Below are 13657 nucleotides of genomic sequence, written 5' to 3'. Positions count from 1 at the left end.
TTAATAGATACAGAAAGCCAAAAAGATATAAAGCTATAACAGGGCATTCTCCTGGAAAATAAAAGGAAAGAAATGTAGTATGTCCTCGATTGTAAATAATGCATGTCCTCCCCCGCAATTTAATGTTGCTGAGATGAACATGGGTCTTACATTTGATAGCATCATAGAATTAAAGAAAGACAGTAGCCCCAACAGCTCTGACTCCAGACTCCTACACTGAAATGATGAATCCAGAATAAGAGCTCCTCTGTTTACATTGAAAGGCCCCATCATCAGAACTGATGACATGGTAACTGAGTGTGGAGTGTGTGTGTGTGTGTGTGTGTGTGTGTGTGTGTGTGAGAGAGAGAGAGAGAGAGAGGAGAGAGAAGGGGTGGAGAGAGAGAGAGAGGAGAGAGAAGAGGGAGAGAGAGAGAGAAAGAGAAAGAGAAAGGGAGAAACGGAGAAAGGGAATCGTGTGGAGGATGACTCACACTTCTGGCCCTAACTGTGCTGCTGGTAGCCAAGTTCAATGAGATGAGCTCCTTTGGAGGGGAATTAGGTTTGTAGGTCAAATGGTCAGTTCAGTTTTAGACTGTGTAGGGTGAGCTTTCTGTAGAACACCAGGAGGCAGTTGGATGTGTAAGTCTGAAGCTCATGAGAGGGGCCAGGACAGGGATGGATTTGAGTATTGGTAACGTCTTAGGGAGCAGTTAAAGCTGCAGTTGCATTTGCACCTGGTGCATGAGGAGTGCTGAGGACACATGTGATGATGAGTGATGAGCGCACACGTGATGATGGGTGATTTTCCTTTGTGATTATCCCCTTTAGAGGATGTAAATGCAGAGGCTGTCCTTGGGGGGATGTGAAGGAGTGGGAGTCGAGTGACATACGCCATACTAATTTAGGGTTGAATTTATAGTTTGGATTATCCGTTTTAACCCTAAGCATTTGATTACATTTATCAGAGAGTTTTAAAATCCCTGCTTTGCAGACCCCAATGCCTCTCTAGTACTTAACACAGTACATGGCTCATAGAAGGTGCTTAGTAACTAGTTGTTGGAAAAACGTTAAGGAAGACACTGCACCATAAAAATTAAATGGTGCAATTTTTATGTTGATGTTAAAACATCATCACAAAGCAGTATATGGTTAATGAATTAAAAATAAACACAATTCCTAGTAGCCCTAATCAGTTAGCCAATACGGGTCCTATTCTTTAATCTGACTTGTGGTGTAGTAAATAGCAGGCTATCTATTTATCAGCACGGAACCAGAGTGTCAAAACATGTTAAACATGAAGTAGGTCTTAAGAATTCAGTTTGAGTGCAATTTAGAAATTTTTTGGGAGGAATTTCTTTGCTTGTAATATTTTTCAAAAGTCAAACAAGGTATTACTGTGATTTTTGGCACCAGCTGTTAATTTTACATGCTGATGCCTTTTTAGATTCACTGTCTTCCAAGGTATCACAAGGTTTCAACAATGGATGAAAAGTTGCCAAAGCACTATCCCTGTATCACGACCACCATCTTAGCCTCAAACTGAAAATCTAAACCAGTGTCCTACCCAAATGGCTCTTTGCAAGGATACTGGCAATCAGAAGAGTTCCTCTTTTGGCCTCTGCTTTGGTTGGTAATACTTCCTCTGGGGAAGAGAAATAGCTCATAGTATAATCTACTAAGGCCCACAATTTCTTGAGTATTTCAGGCTGTCCTTTCCAAAGTATAAGGTCAGGGAATAAATCTCCACCACAGAATGTCATGAACGACATCAGCCAGAGACTTTGTGAAAAAGAACTGGCATTCGGCAGATATACAAAGGCAGACAAAAACCTAGACACAGATATGTATAAAAATCATGTCAGGAAGCCAAACTTAAAATACTCAAGAAATAAAAGCATTTGCTATGTAGTGACCTTAATGGTAACCTCTTTTCTTTACTAGTAGATATTACCAGCATAAATTAAAATCTCCTTGCTAAAACGGCATATTTAAAATCTTCAAGGTAGGTAGTGATTTGGAAACTCTGGGTGTGTATGGTTTTATCCCCTCAATTCCTTGCTGAGAGAGCTTTGGGGTTCATGTACTTTCAGTTTTAGTGAACATTTCTGAATCTACAAGTTCTGGCCTAATTTCTTGATTGGGAATTTGCATGTTATCTGCATTAAAAACATGTTAACTAGTGAATCCTGACCTTGACTTAGTGTACCCGAATAACTGGTTTCACATAGTTCTAACTTTTTGATAAGTGAAAACAAATGAGAAAAGCCTGCAATACAACTTGCTTTGAATGGCCATATATTTTGAAACTTGCTAAGGCTTGTATAAAGCAGACAGAAAGCTAAATCAGCCCAGCTCTGTATGACACTTATGAAGAAAGACTACTTGTTCCAGAAATAAAGCTAAATTTACTTATGCCAGAAAAGCCTGCCTTGGGAGCAGAGTCATAAGGGCAAAACTATTTGAGAATAGGGATGGACTATTTCCAGTATAAAAGTAACTTTCCGATGGCCTTCCTTTAAGACTTAGTTCCTCTTACAGTCTTACTCAGAATAAGGTTCCAGTTTATGGTGAGGAAAATTGTTGCTTCAATGGCTAAACTCATAGTTAAACTCTTCCAAGAATTTAGCTGGTTTGTGTGTGTGCTTTAATAAAGTGAGAATAATTCCTTAAATCATTGACTAGGTTAGATTTTGTTTTCATCTGTAATAGTTAACTTCATACATAATGGATTTGTCTGACCGATGATTTTCATTTAATTTTGATGTTAGTTAACATATATGCCTGATTGGGTACTGAAATGTTAAGAGTCAGTTTATTCGTAAAGAAAATGGTGTCCTTAAGTTTAGACAGCTTCATAATGGATGAAAATAGAATCTGTTGAAATTATATTATCTCTATATAGTATGAGAAAAATAAGCTACTCTTTTAATTATGTAGCTTCCTGGATGGAGCTCTGGGATATAAAATACATGGAGCCTAAGAGAACACACAGCAACTTGAGTCAGTATTGTCAAATGAATGTACAAATGAACAACAATAAAACCACATAATGAAAAGTTTTCCCCTCATTTAATTCTAATATGCTATAACACAAGTATGTTATTGGGAGTCTTTTCACATGTAATTAAACTATTGAGAGACAAAAAATTGAGTAAACTGAAGGCCAGGGAAGGACAGATAAAAGAATACTAAATTCCATAGAGCATTTTATCAGCTTACCACTATTCTCTCTGTAGTCTGATAATAAGATGAAAAAAATAGAGTACTTAAAGGTCTGGTGAAAGGCTGCATATAACTGAATATATCTTATTAATTAAAGAAGCAGCATTTTTATTTTCAAAATGTAGTTCATGCTTTTGAAAAATGCACCAATAATTTCTAACACTTGGAAGACAGCCACCTGCAGCTTTTCTGGTCCTTTCCGACCTGACCTACATTGTTAAATGAAGGCGTGCTTTCTAACAGGTTTGATATCACAACAGTTTGCTCTTTCTCTTTGCTGAGTGTTTTCACATAATTATTTAAAGGCATGTCTTTATCACCCTCGAAGTGCCAAACTCTTCTATGAATGACAATCCTCTGCCTCAGGATAATTTCTTATATGATGTAATTATATGTGGCGAGAGCTCTTGCAATGTTAATCTTTGAACTTTCTTGTATGTGACCCTCCCCTTATTCTGCTATAGGTATTCCCATTGCCCTAAAGAGAAATAGGTTTATAGCAGAGATGCAAAGAGATTTATAGTAGGAAGAATACTTTTAATTTGCTAGATATTTTGTTGAGAAGAGGTCTTGAAAATTAAAAATTCTGAAACAGAATTGATATTCTCCAGTGCCCTGAACTCACTGAGCTTTATCTAAGCTACCCTTATGAACATGCCCTTATTAATGTGCCTGGGGTCTCAGAAGACTCCTGACCCAGAGAGTGAGTTCCTTGGTCCCCAGAAGGACAGTGATGATGATGGAACAAAAAGTCACCAGGACTTATTCATGGAAAGGATTTGAAAGTAGAGAAAACTTATTCCCTTTAGGTTTCATACTAGTCTTCTTTGGCCTTCTAAGTGTAGGACAAAAAGTCAATTCCACGAGTGACTCTCACTCCCATTGGCCAAGAAGATATCTTAAAATAACAAGAAAAACATTGTACTGGGGCGATAAACATTCCATTGTAAATGAATTGCCCATTCTAGATTGTGATGAACATTCACTGGTGGCCAGAGAAGTCATGTTAGAATTGCAGATGCACAAAGGACTTCAGAGGTCACTCTCTTTCACATTCTACTCAACACCAGAATCCTCACTATACCACATATGACCTGGCATTTGTCATTGATTATACTTTCTCCTTGAATAGCTTCACCAGTGACTCCTCATTCATATGCCCATCTTTTTCATTGTTGATACCTCTGGTTGCTAAGATCTTTGTCCTACTGCCTACCACTAGTTTTACAGTCTGTATCTTTTCCATCTGGAATAAGACATATGCATTATGGAGTTGAGTTGAAGGCCCTACTTGTTAGCAAGCTAGGAAGGATTTTTTTTTAATTTAGTGGACATATATTTGGGTGGAATTTATTGCATTTTTGATATAGTATCCTATTAACACCTAAAGATCTATCTGTGAGAAAGAAGAAAAGTTATTGTCTTTTCCATTGATGTAGAAACTGAAGCAGAAAGAAGTAAATTTCACAGTATCACAGAATCAATGGCAAGGTTGAGAGCAGATGGCAGAGGGCCTTTTCAGTGGAGTGGGGGTTAAGAAGTGAGATCATAGTAAGAAAGCATGTCTTCTAGAATCTGGTTACGTCAGTCACCAAGTTGTTGCATTTTGGTAATATGGAATATGTTTACTTGAAACATCAGAAAAAGTGCCTGGTAAGGAAGGCTCTTTGAATAAATAAACTCTCATCACAGGTCAAAATTACCAAAAAAGAATAGGTTTCCCTGTAGTTGAAACTCCTTTGAGGGGCAAGAACCCTGTCCCTGTGGCCCAGAGTAGTTTCTGATGGTGCAATTGGCAAAGTTAATCCACAAACAGCAAAACTACAGATGTGGAGCTGGACAAAGCTCCTCTGAGCAGAGAGGATGGGGCGGGTTGACTTTTCGGTTGTTTGAGAGAGGAGAGGAGTACTGTGGAAGTCTCCAGAGGGTCTCTGCTTCAGCACCTCGTGAAGGTGATAGGGAAGGGGTGACCTCATTGCCCTGTCTGCCTAGAAGATGATATAGGAAGAGGAATGAGAGTTTTCTCAGCTTCTAGGACCCCTAGGAATAAGCATAAAACAGCTTTGCCCCTTCCTTTGACTCCCAGATACCTGTGTTTCAACTGGTGCTCATCAGATTCCCTGTTCTGTGGCTCAGGTCTCAGGAGACAGTGTTGTGCTCTAGAGAAGGAGAGGCTGTATCCTGGCCAGGGGGCTTTGGGGGAAGTGTTTGAGCCTCAGGTGAGAAGGCATTGATCTAAAGCTTGCCCATAGTTCCTTAAATCCTAGATAAAGATGAAGCTAGGGGTAAATGATGGCTAGAAATGGCAAGGCCAAAGTGTAGGACAGAGAGCAAATTGAGGGCAGAGCCAAGAGAACAGGGGGGTACGCAAACAGTCAAGGAGGGAGCACAGGGAAAGACGCTATGAAAAGCCAGAGCATTATTTCAGTCCACCTGGTGGCCATGAAACATGCTCTGAGAACAGTGGTTCTCAACAGGGGTAATTTTGCCCCAGGATCATTCGGCAATGTTGGAATATGCTTTGGTTGTCACAACTGGGGATGACAGGAGCGTAAAAGGCATCTAATGGGTAGAGGCCAGGGGTGTTGTTAAGAATCCTAAAATGGACTGGTAAGCCCCCCACTACAAAGAATTTTTGAACCTAAGGTGTTAATAGTCCTGAGACTGAGAAGTCCTGTCTTACCAAGTCAGCATACAGCCCCATGTTAACATTAAGGCTGGAGAAATTCCCATTGCTTACACATGGTTTTCTTTGTGATCGTTCCAGCTGGTCATTCCTTTCTGGGCTGAGCCTTGGCAGTGCATCCCGCATTTGGGACTGTGCCTGCTTGGATTGGTTGGATGTTGTTTCAAGATGTCACACCAGTGTCATGCTGGCCAGAGATGATCCTGACAACCATCCCTGCTCCAGGTGATATTAGGAGCGCCCCGGTCTATACTCTGGTTTACCTGTTTGTGTCTGACCCTCTCCAGCTCTCATCTGCTGACCACCAACTCTCCCCTTGCCTCCTGCATAACCTCCCTTTGCTTTATTTGTTTCTGAGATGACCATCCGCTTAACAGTGTCAGAGCTGACACTGATGTGGCCCAACCTCGCCCCCTATCGGATGTGGAAATTGAATTTCCTCTGGAGTGTTCTTGCCCAAGGTTGTACCATCTCTCCTATAACACAGCCTCAGTTATTTGAGAACCACAATGAGGCTCAGAACTCCGACTTTTGTGTTCACTAAGTATCTTCTCTCTCTGCGACGTGCCAGAACTGATGAGTGAGGGTTGGAGCTATGCTCTTCCTGTAAACTCTCCAAACTTTATTTGCCTAACTTCTGATGAAATGTTTGTATTTGAACCCTGCTGTGAAGATAGATATATACTTTAAAAGCCTATTGAAAAACACTGTGGAAAATCAAAATGTCCTGTGGAGAGAAGACACTTCTACTTCCATGAGAAAAGGAGGAAGCGTTGTGCAGAGCGGGTAGTGAGGGGTCTGTGGTTTTATCGACATCCTGACACGGATTGAGGGAAGTGCCAACATAGCTCTCCTAACTTCCCCCGGGAGGGCCCATCAATCGAAATGAGCTCTTGTGCATGTGATTCAGATGTCACTGAGTTTTCTGGTCTCATTCTTTTCTTGGAAGGAAGGAGGGCTCCAAAACTGGGGATAGGTTATCCGTGCTCTGAGTCTGAGAAGGGGATTTGGGGGAGGCTTAAGGTAGAAACAAAAGATCTCAGTTTTGCCATCCAAATCAACCCATGGCCAGATCAGATTTAGGGTAAGAAATCTATTTTTGTGCTTTGGACATTTCCCTCATCTAATTGTGTGTGTGTGTGTGTGAGAGAGAGAGAGAGAAAGAAAGAAAGAGAGAGAGAAAGAGAGAGAGTGTGTAAGCAAGCGCACCTTGGAAAAATTTGAATATTGCCAAGTACAGGGGGAAAGATTTTTTTCTTTTTAAACTTAGGTCAGATAACTAGGACACCAGAGTGCCCTGAAGGGTGGGGCTGGGGGGAGTAGCAGGCCTTCCTTAGTATCCTTGCACGGGAAGGGGTCTTGGGCATGTCTGGCTCTTTGGATGGTGCATTTTCACATTGTATTCATTTCCACAGGTTTGAGCTGTGCCTTTTTCGGCTTCAATCAGCAGAAATAGATTTTTTTTTCTTTTTTCTGGTGAATAGTTGACAATGTAGGGGAAGTCAAGTTTTATAGGCTTTACTCTGTATCTCCACACGTGCCTGTTTTTCCCATACAGGATACTTCAACTTATGAATAGGCTATGTTCCAGAAGTTTATTTTGGATCAGGTTTCTGAACCTGAACAGCATGTTAATGGGCTTCCAGGGGCTACTGAAGTTCCCGAGAGTGCGAGCAAAATTTTGCATGTTGTGTGCACAGTGCGTATTTTCTGGTGAGGAAATCCACAGCTGGTATTGAGTTCTGAAAGGAGGCTTTGATTCCCTGGTGTTAGAAACACTGGTAATCAGCTGTTTGGAGCTTTTAATGCATGATTCAGAAATGGACTCTGCCCCAAGAAGCTGAAAGCCTAGCGAGGGAGATAAGACACAAACATAAATAGCTCTAAAGGTTTGACAAAGTGTTCTGGACGTTTTGAGACAAAGGGATGACTTTGGGCATCAGGCAGCAAAACGGCTGCTTTTTTCAGAGAGAATCAGGTGTATGCATAAGACCGTATGAAGGGCGTGACTTTAAAGAAAAGGGGCCCATTCATACGTGAGACATTTACAAATTCGTTATTTGTAAACCTTTGCCTTGATTTGAAGATAGCCAAATGGTGTCTATGGCCACAAACACATTCTTTGCCAAATATAAACAACTTCAAAATAAAAAGCGATGCTGATTTTACTGTTTTCTCCTTTAGACCACATCAGTCTCATTTAAGAATACGTTAAAAGCAGACGTTGGATTTCACTTTTTGGCACTGTAACTGGACGTGCTATCATAAAGTCATATCTAGGCAATGAATGGAATGTTTTTCCTTTTTTTCAGTCACAGCACGCCTGGAAATTGGAAACAAAAGCAGAATGTCCCTGAGGTCCCCTTCTATTTATTCCTCCTGAGGTCCCCTTCTGTTTATTCCTCCTGTAGTCTAGCTTGAAGTGACATTCTCTGACCACTAGATGGCACTCCTGCATAGGCGAGCCGAGCCCGGACTTACCCGGTTTACTAAGGGCGGGGCTGCAGTCCCCCATGACTCCTGAAAGTGATGGCTGAGCCTGATAAATGAACTCACGGAGGCAGAAACTCAAATAGAGTTGTGTAAAAGAGACTTTCATGAAATCAAATCGATGATATTTGCGATGACAAAATGCAGGAACTGCTTGTCTGCTTTTCACATTTACATTTTTAAAAATTTGAGATGCTTCCGGCATGACTGTCGCTGGGCCCTAGGTACGATAGATAAATTAATATACACAAAAATGAATTCTCGCCTTCCTTCAAAACTGGCTGTTCTTTTACATTTCCGTTTTTCTTAGCGGGACCGCCTGTTTTCCAGGTTCCAGAGCTGAGTGTTTTCTGTGCTACATCTTTGATTTTTCTCTCTTCCTCTCCCCTATTGTACCATCACGTCCTGTAGTTTGTTTCTTTAAGGTATCCTCTGGGTCCCCTGTTTCCTCTTCCATTCCAGTGTCATAAAACCTCTGCAGTATTTAAAAGTATATAATACAATTATTTAAACGATCATAAAACCTCTGTGGCATTTAAAAGTACATAATACAATTATTTAAATGGTAAATAAAATTATTTAATAAAATTACTTAAATAGTAATTACATCAAGGTTAATTCAGTAGCCTTTTAGATGAACTTTAAAAATCATTTTCAGTAAGGAAAACTGTCACAGCCTCTAAAATATAGTTTATTCAATCATTTACTCATTGATTAATTTCATCTACTCCTTTAACAAATTTCATGAGCTCCTCTTCAGATACTGTTTTAGAGGCTGTGTCAGACTAGGAAGGATTCCTTAAAGATAATGGAAGTGGGTTACTACCCTCAAGGAGTTCCTGTGCCACTTCTGTACTCAAGAATATATGAGTCTGTAGGACCTCTGGGGAAGGGAGGAGTGACTTGTCATGTCGTGAGCTGCCTTGAATGGAGTGAAATTTTCCATTGTTGATCTGTCTATACTTGCTGTTTTGTGGCTAGCAAACTGATTTGCTGTAACCTTGTCTGCTTCTCCAACATCATAGGTAAACAATAAATATATGTGGAATGAATAAGTAAATAAAAAGACATGACTGCAAATTATTCCGTAATTTTCATCACGATAATCCCAAATAGTTTAATAATATGGAAACCTTGCAAAACATTAGTCTTTAAATATTTGTCGAAATTTCCTTAGATAGCTCTGATTATTTCCAAGAAAAAAAATTGAGAATAAAACAATAAACATCTATGTATGCTGCTTTTTCAAATTATAACATTTTGTCATATTTGCTTCAGTTATTAAATAATTTAGTTTGTATTTTGATCGGATTCTATGTGCATGGAAAGAACAAAATTGTTAAAAACATATAATTGGTATAATAAACAATACCACCTGAATCCCCCTTGTCATAATTTCTTGCTCGTCAGAGGCAACCCATTTCAAATATGTTGCTATTTGCTTATTGGACTTATAATGCTATTTACTGATTTTTTTAGTTTTGATTCTCTACTATGGAATATGAGGATATAGGTGTTTTCATCCCTCTACTACTATCTATAAAATACTTGGAACCTCCCAAATTATTAACTATTTGAAATTCACATTTAAGTGGGTGCCCTGTATTTTTATTTGCTAAATCTTATAACCATAATCCCTAACCATACACATGAATACTTCCTGCTGAAACCTTTAAATTTAGTTACATTTCACTTTCAGCTTAATCACTCTTTGATCGTCTATGTTCTGAGGATCATGCAAATGCTAATCATTGTTGAGCCAGGTAACATATAAAATATCACTCATTTTGCTTCCTATTTTTTGTTTTTGTTTTCTTGGATTGAAAATTGCTTGGTTTTAGGTTTGCTCAATTTTCTTTGTATTTACCTAATTTACACTAATTTATCTTCTAACTTCTCCCATTGTGTAATTCTCAACTCAATATATTATCCAATCATTTCACTTCTCTGGACCTGCTGTCCAGCCTGTGTCTTGGGTTTCTCCCGTCTCCTTCCTCCTAGGATCCTTGCCATTGCTTTGCTATGAGTGATCTTCTGTCTGTCTCTGGGGTCCCACGTGTTCCTCTATATTTGTTTACTCCTATATTTTGGTGGGAACTCCATGAGAAAGCTTACTACCTGGATGGTAAATGGATTGAGAGTTTGCATATGTGGAAATGAATTTGTTCCACATTCACTCCTGATTATCCTTTTGGTTAAGAATAGTATTATATGTTGGGATTTATTTTGAAGGCACTGTTATATTACTTTCTAACAATGTTGCCGTTGAGAAGTGAAATGCCATTTGAAATCGGCCTTTTTTTTGGTCCCAGGTGTTCTGAAATTTTACAGTTATGTGTTTGCCCTAGCATGGGCCAATGTCCATCTGTTGTTCTAGAATCTTGATGGATACCTCAGCCTCCAGAGAAAAATATTAGAAAAAAAATTCAAAATTAGTCAACCAATAAATAACATTCATAACAAATTTCCACCAGAACGTCAACTTTTCTGTTGTTACCTTGAAATAATCAAAGTATAGTTTTTTCTTATTATGTAATATTACGCAGAAGGTTGTTACTTAAAAAATATAGTACTGAGGTCATTCCTAATAAGTATCCCAAATATTTTTGGAATACAACTCATAGTTTTTCCTGTCACTGCACACCCTCCGATCCCACTGAAATTTAAATTCAGTTTAAATTTAAAATCTAAAGTTCTAAAAATTAAACTAAAATTGTTGTTTTCCAACGTGAATCTTTGTGAAAAGCAGAAAAAAACACTAAACACTGGTTGTGGCCAAAGTTTACTTAAAATACCTGGTTTTGGCCAATGTTACTTAAAATACCTGAATTAAAATTTTTTTCCTGTTTGAAAAGCTCAGGTGTGACGTGGTGGCTCACGGCTGTAATCCCAGCACTTTGGGAGGCCGAGGTAGGTGGATCATGAGGTCAGGACTCTGAAGTTTATTCCAGTAGGCTTTTCAATTTTGGTTTCCTCAATAATTTCATTTAACCTCATTGAGTGCCACCCCTTAAATGGTTTCTTTTAGGAATAGCAAAATAATAAACTTCAAATTGCCTTGAACCTGCCACCTGGTACACCCTTGAGAAAGTCTCGCGGGCCAGTTCTGGTCGCCTGCTCCAACATGGAGTGTGACGGGCAGGAGGCACGAGGCAATGACAAGACCCATGGCACTCTCACAGCTTCCTGTTTTTCTTCCGTAGGAAAAACTTGAAGAACTTTAGAGAAATAATATATGTATCTAATAGTTGTCAAGTAGCTCATTACAATTTTTGGATATCATGAATGTTTAAATATTAAAAAGAACAATTTGAGGAAATCAGTCATATATTATTTTGAGGAAATTGCTTCGGCTGCATCAAATTGATAAAAAAGAATGGTTTTTTCCTCTAAAGATTAATGGATTTTTAGATGATTTCTGAATAATATCCTCTACAGAAAGTAAATAAACATCTATTTTCTTAGCAATAGTGCTTCTTATATTGATATAAGTTAGAAATTAGTAGTAGTTAATACCTTCATGAATAATGTATATTGCTGGAAGTACTGTAATGGTCAGTTTCACGTATCATATGCTGCCTTTTAAAAGTATATTTTATGGTTTGCAAAAGAACAATTACATTTTTTTTCTCATTGCTGGATAGCTGAGATAATTGATAAATATCTGGTAACATCATACCTTGATTCTGATCATATGGAAAAACTGTATTTAGCAAACATCTAGCAAAAGGTATTTTTATCATCAAACAAGATTTTTCTTTTTAACAGAAAACACATTTTTTTCACCTTCTTTTTTTCTCCATTATAATTATTTGAAATGTCTGCTGGCATGTAGCATTTGATTAGGGAATTTTTGAGAAGCAGTCTATTTGTAATAGGATCCTCAATGGAAAATATAAATATAATAATATATTTATACACAATTTTACATTTTATAATAAGCATCTGATTTTTTCGATTTATGAACTAAAAATAGAAAAAGGTACTTGGTTTTTTATAGTTAAAAAAATTGTTTTTTCTTGGGTAGATTTTGGCCTGTACCTTTCTTTTTTAAAACTGAGTTTTAGTTCTGGGTTATTTTTATTTTTTAAAGGAAACTGACATTCCCAGCAGAATTGCTGTAGTGGACCTGAGATTCTTTCACATCACTGCATGGGAATATTTTCCATGTCACTAATTCCCAGCGGATGCATTTCCCCACCTTAAATGGGATATTTCTAAACATTACCATTTCAACCAAAGTTGTTTGATAGCTCACTATTATTTACTGATACTGTCTAAGTCTTGCTGCCAACATAATCTTAATAAGTCATTACAAGTCCACTGGGTAAGCTGTTTTTCCATTTCTTAAGCTTTAGTGCCTGTGCTGTATGGATTTGGCATTTAATAAATCACTGTAGGGCCAGCGAACACATTATATTCCTGTAGTTGAGACTGTCTAGACAAAAGTGCATGGAGAGATCTTTCCACTCTAAGTAGCGGGAGAGCATTTCTTTGCCACAAATTGGTTCTGAATCAATTGCTCAGAAACTTGGCATATCCAGGCTTACTTGGATGCAGGAGGAGTGCAAGACTAAGTGCTGCATGGGGTGCTTTTCTGCCTTCTAGTTTAATTGAATAGCTGAGAAGCAGTGCCTAAGAAACAACGGTCCTGTGGGAGAATGGCTTACAATTTTACCCTTTTCAGATTCAAGAATTATTATACCAATTTATGTTAGATGACCTTTGTTTACAAAAATATCTGAAAGGTTTATTAAAGCTGAGTAAATGATACTATTAAGGGTGTGCAGCAAGAAAAAAAATGGGAAGGAGAGAATAGGATTTCTTTCCTGATAGATATATTATGTATGTATGTGTATGTTTATCTTGGTTCCCCCTGTGAAGCTCTTTTCTTAGAGAGAGAGAGAGAGGATGTTTCATTAGTGAGCTTTTTGAAGCACAGCTTTCTTTCCATTTTTCAGGGGAAACTTGTTTTAGAAATGATCAGGGACTGTGATAGAGTTCGATCTTGCCCTTTCAAGGAGACCACTAGTAGTGCTCTTAACTGTTGCTGTTCTTGAAGGTTAAATTAGACCATGGTAAATTTCTTAGCAATATAAGCGTCAGCATATCCCTTGAACTGTCCAGGCTATACTGTTGCTTTTACTAGTTCTATGTTGGTTCTTTTTGCCTCTCTGCTCTTGTCTTCTGGTTGTGTAACACCTAATATTCTTGCTTTGCATATCCTCCTTGATGGATTTTCTTAAATTTCAGGTGTTTCTGGCAAAATAAAAAAGA

At 38.4% G+C, this 13657-nt stretch overlaps 1 long non-coding RNA gene across 4 annotated transcripts in view; it reads left to right on the top strand.

Annotated features, from left to right (window-relative positions):
- The first annotated feature begins 6775 nt into the window (after nucleotides 1-6775).
- Nucleotides 6776-13657, top strand: part of LOC105377918 (uncharacterized) — a 64633-nt gene continuing 57751 nt past the window's right edge. For all 4 annotated transcript variants that reach the window (XR_001744272.2, XR_001744273.2, XR_942828.3 and 1 more), the window contains exon 1: nucleotides 6776-6974. This is a non-coding gene — a long non-coding RNA (uncharacterized LOC105377918). The remainder of the gene's footprint in view (nucleotides 6975-13657) is intronic.

Source organism: Homo sapiens, chromosome 6 (assembly GCF_000001405.40).
Source record: "Homo sapiens chromosome 6, GRCh38.p14 Primary Assembly".
NCBI classification, from domain to species: domain Eukaryota; kingdom Metazoa; phylum Chordata; class Mammalia; order Primates; family Hominidae; genus Homo; species Homo sapiens.
This window is presented reverse-complemented; position numbering and strand designations above follow the sequence as displayed.